We start from the raw sequence: 3,861 nt of genomic DNA on the forward strand, positions 1-3,861 counted from the left end.
AAGCCAGAGTCAAAAGCTAACATGATGAGCAAAGCACAGCAGAAGAATGAAGAGAACCTGGGTCCTAAATGATGGGCAGGTGCCAATGACTTAACTAAGCCCAGAATCATGTTACCTTAGGCTTTTTATGCTATCTTTCTACGCCAACTGAGTTCAATGTTCTGTTCAATGCCACTGGAACCCTACCAACTGGAACATTCACTGATAAGTTGCTGTGGGCAAATTGCATCTGGGTTCCTCACTTGTCTATACAGGTTAAGAAGAAACAGGCGTGTTGGCGGGCGCCTGTAGTCCCAGATACTCGGGAGGCTGAGGCAGGAGAAAGGCGTGAACCCGGGAGGAGGAGCTTGCCGTGAGCCGAAATCGCGCCACTGCACTCCAGCCTGGGCGACAGAGCGAGACTCAGTCTCAAAAAAAAAAAAAAAGAAAAGAAAAAGGAAAAGAAACAGCATGATGTTTCTGCTGCACTGATCTCTCTCTGAGGTAGTATATATAGACTGTGTACTGGTAAATTATTTTATGGACTCTATGAAGACTGCATGGATATCGTCTTAAAATATTAGGCAAGCCTAATGAATAAGTCAGAATGTTTTATACACCTCAGGCAAATTAGAATTTGCCTATACTTTATATTACAGTCTACTAAATCAATCACTTTAAAATTGGCACCAGGGATTGTAGTAAGATCATCAGACCTTCTAATAAATTTAGAAAAATTATCACAAGATAATTTTGAGTTTTTGTTATCAGATTTTCAGGCAGTTTGTTGTTATTTAATTTAGGATTCTTTAATTATCAAAGCAAAACATGAGAACCAGTTTTACAGAAAACAATTTTGCCCTTATCACTTCATCTTCACATGTGGAAAATATTCAAAGTTTGTTTAAAAACCTCTGATGCAGCCAGGTGTGGTGGCTTACACCTGTAACCCCAGCACTTTGGGAGGCCAAGGTGGGCAGATCACTTGAGGTCAGGAATTCAAGACCAGCCTGGCCAATATGGTGAAACATTGTCTCTACTAAAAAAATTACCTGGGCATGGTGGCGCATGCCTGTAATCCCAGCTGAGGCAGGGAAATCACTTGAACCCAGGAGGTGGAGGTTGCAGTGAGCTGAGATTGTGCCACTGCACTCCAGCCTGGGTGACAGAGAGAGACTCCATCTCAAAAAAAAAACCCAAAAAAACAAAAAAACCTCTGATGCTCAGACAAATAACTAATGCATGCGGGGCTTAAAACCTGGGTGATAGGTTGATAGGTGCCGCAAACCACCACGGCACATGTATACCTATGTAACAAACCTGTACGTTCTGCACATGTATTCTAGAACTTAAACTAAAAAAAACAAAAACAAAAACAAAACAAACACACACACACACGCACACAAAAACCTTGGATGCTCTGTTTTTTTCCCTCTTGTATCATTAAAAATAAAATTCTTGTTTTTATTCTCTTTTGTTTGGACACATTTTAGAGCCTTCCAAATGTGGTGATTATAACTTTTTATTGAATTACTACAAAGAATGATAATAATAATTATTATCACATTAGTATAAAGAATACAGAAAATCTTTGTCTCTATAATATCCCAAGGAATGACAAATTGTCAACATTTCTTTTAGTGGTAATTCATGGAAAATTAAAGAAAATATGGTATATTTTTATATTTATTTAGTTTAGTTTTTAAGTGAAACATTCTGCAGAATGGCACAAAAAATTGTGAACTTTTAGAGTTAAAAAGAATAATTCATTCTTACCAAGATTATGTAAAAGTATCAATTCTCTTGCCCTATATTTTTTTAAGGAAAGCTTCTTCTGGAAAGGATTAGCAGAATAATGAAAGAGAGGACTTAGGTATAATCTTCCTAATGAAGTCAATATTCACCTCCAAATACAAGTAATGTTTATACTAATTTTCTTTTTGAAGTTTGTGTCAGTATTACATGGGAGAGGAAGATGAACTCATATAGACTTTTGACTCTTCCATTAGTCCACATCCATTATGCATCGTATTCTCTTGTCTATTGTGTTCAAAAAATTTAAATGAAAATTTTAAATAGAGAAGGGAGGAAGTGACTAGGCTTTCTCTAATATCCCTGTCATGAATATGTCACTCACCTCAAAATATGTCACTGAAAGTACTACAAAATTGCCATAATAAGCTAGTTACTGCTTTTCTTATCTCCAAGTTCCTTGCCCATTCAAAGCTCTACAGGAAAAAAAAGTACTCCTCAATAATACATTCACCATTCACTATGAATAATACACAGTGAACATTTATGTAATGTAGGTTTTAAAAACTCTCACATATATTATTTCTTTGATTCTACCAATAATTCTGTGAAGAACATAAAACACTTAAAACATAAAAGAGGATTCCTAGCAATTACTAGCAATTAAGACGGCACTATCAAAGGTCATCTGACCCTCCCTCCTGACTTGCTGTCTATGATACAGAGAACATAAATATCAGTCATGTTCAGAAATCAACATAAGAATGTGAAAAATTCTTACAATGAAGGAAAGTTGCTGGGGTCTGAAGTGGAGGAACAGCATCCAAGAATGTGGCCTGGAACAGGAGGGCACCAGGGATCACAGATGAAGGACGGATCATTTTCTTTCCCCCACTACTGCAGGACAAGATATCAGCAGTGCCAAACCAAACAAGAGTATAAGATCAGGACAGGAATCTGGCTGGAGAAATCCATTGTCCAGGCTGGCAAAATGAATAATTTATTAAAATGTATTAAAATCTAAATAAACAAGGGCCCAAAAACAGTAATAACAAAATTAAAGTATAATCTAGTACTAAAACTCCAAATGGTATCAACAGCAATATAGAGATGGTACAATGGGAATTAAGAAATTCTTCCTAAAATTCTTAACTATTTGGGGATAGGTGGGTCAGATTCAGAGATTAATAACATTTAAACAGGTTGAGAAATAAACATAACTACTAGTCTTATAAGTTAGCGCTAACCACTAGACATTTTAAAAATAGAATTTACAACTCTAAAAGTACTAGAAATGAATTTAGGCTGGGTATGATGGTGCATGCCTGTAATCCCAGCACTTTGGGAGACCAAGGAGGGAGGATCGCTTGAGCCCAGGAGTTTGAAACCAGCCTGGGCAATAAAGTGAGAAATTATCTCCACACACACACAAAAAAAAGAAAAAAAACTTAAAAACACCTGCAGTCTCAGCTACTTGGGAGGCTGAGGTGAGAGAATTGCTTGAGCTTGGGAGGTGAAGGTTGCAGCAAACCAAGATTGTGCCACTGCCCTCCAGCCTGAGTGACAGAATGAGCTCTTCTCTCAAAAAGAAAAAAATTTAAACTATCCAGTGGAAGTTCAGAGAATGCAAAAAGAAACAAAACAAAGCATGGTAAAAAGAAAGCAAAGAATAGAGATACATAAATAAGTCCCAGTATTACAGTGGTTACAATAAATATAAATGGGTGAAACTCATTAATCAAAAGTAGAGATTCTCAGATTAATAGCAAAACAAGCTTCAGCAATATATAATTTATAAGAAACATTAAGAAAGGGATATAAAGAGTAGCTGAAAATAGAGAATAGAAAAAAATGTAACAGGAAAACGTGAAACAAAAGAAATCTGAGGCATCAATCTTATCACACAAAAGAAAATGTTAAGGGCAAACAAGATAGTTATATACTGGTTAAAGAAATAAGAGATCAAGAAAGCATAATTAATACATACAGTTCTTTTTTTAATTGAAGTGAAATTCATACACATACTTTTAAAGTTTTTAAGCATTCACAAAATTTAACCATATACCAGCCTACAAGAGACATGAATAAATTTGAAACATTTAACATAACAGCAAATTTGTTTTCTGCCTT

The sequence above is a fragment of the Homo sapiens genome, chromosome 3 (genome assembly GCF_000001405.40).
Source record: "Homo sapiens chromosome 3, GRCh38.p14 Primary Assembly".
Classification (NCBI taxonomy): Eukaryota; Metazoa; Chordata; class Mammalia; order Primates; family Hominidae; genus Homo; species Homo sapiens.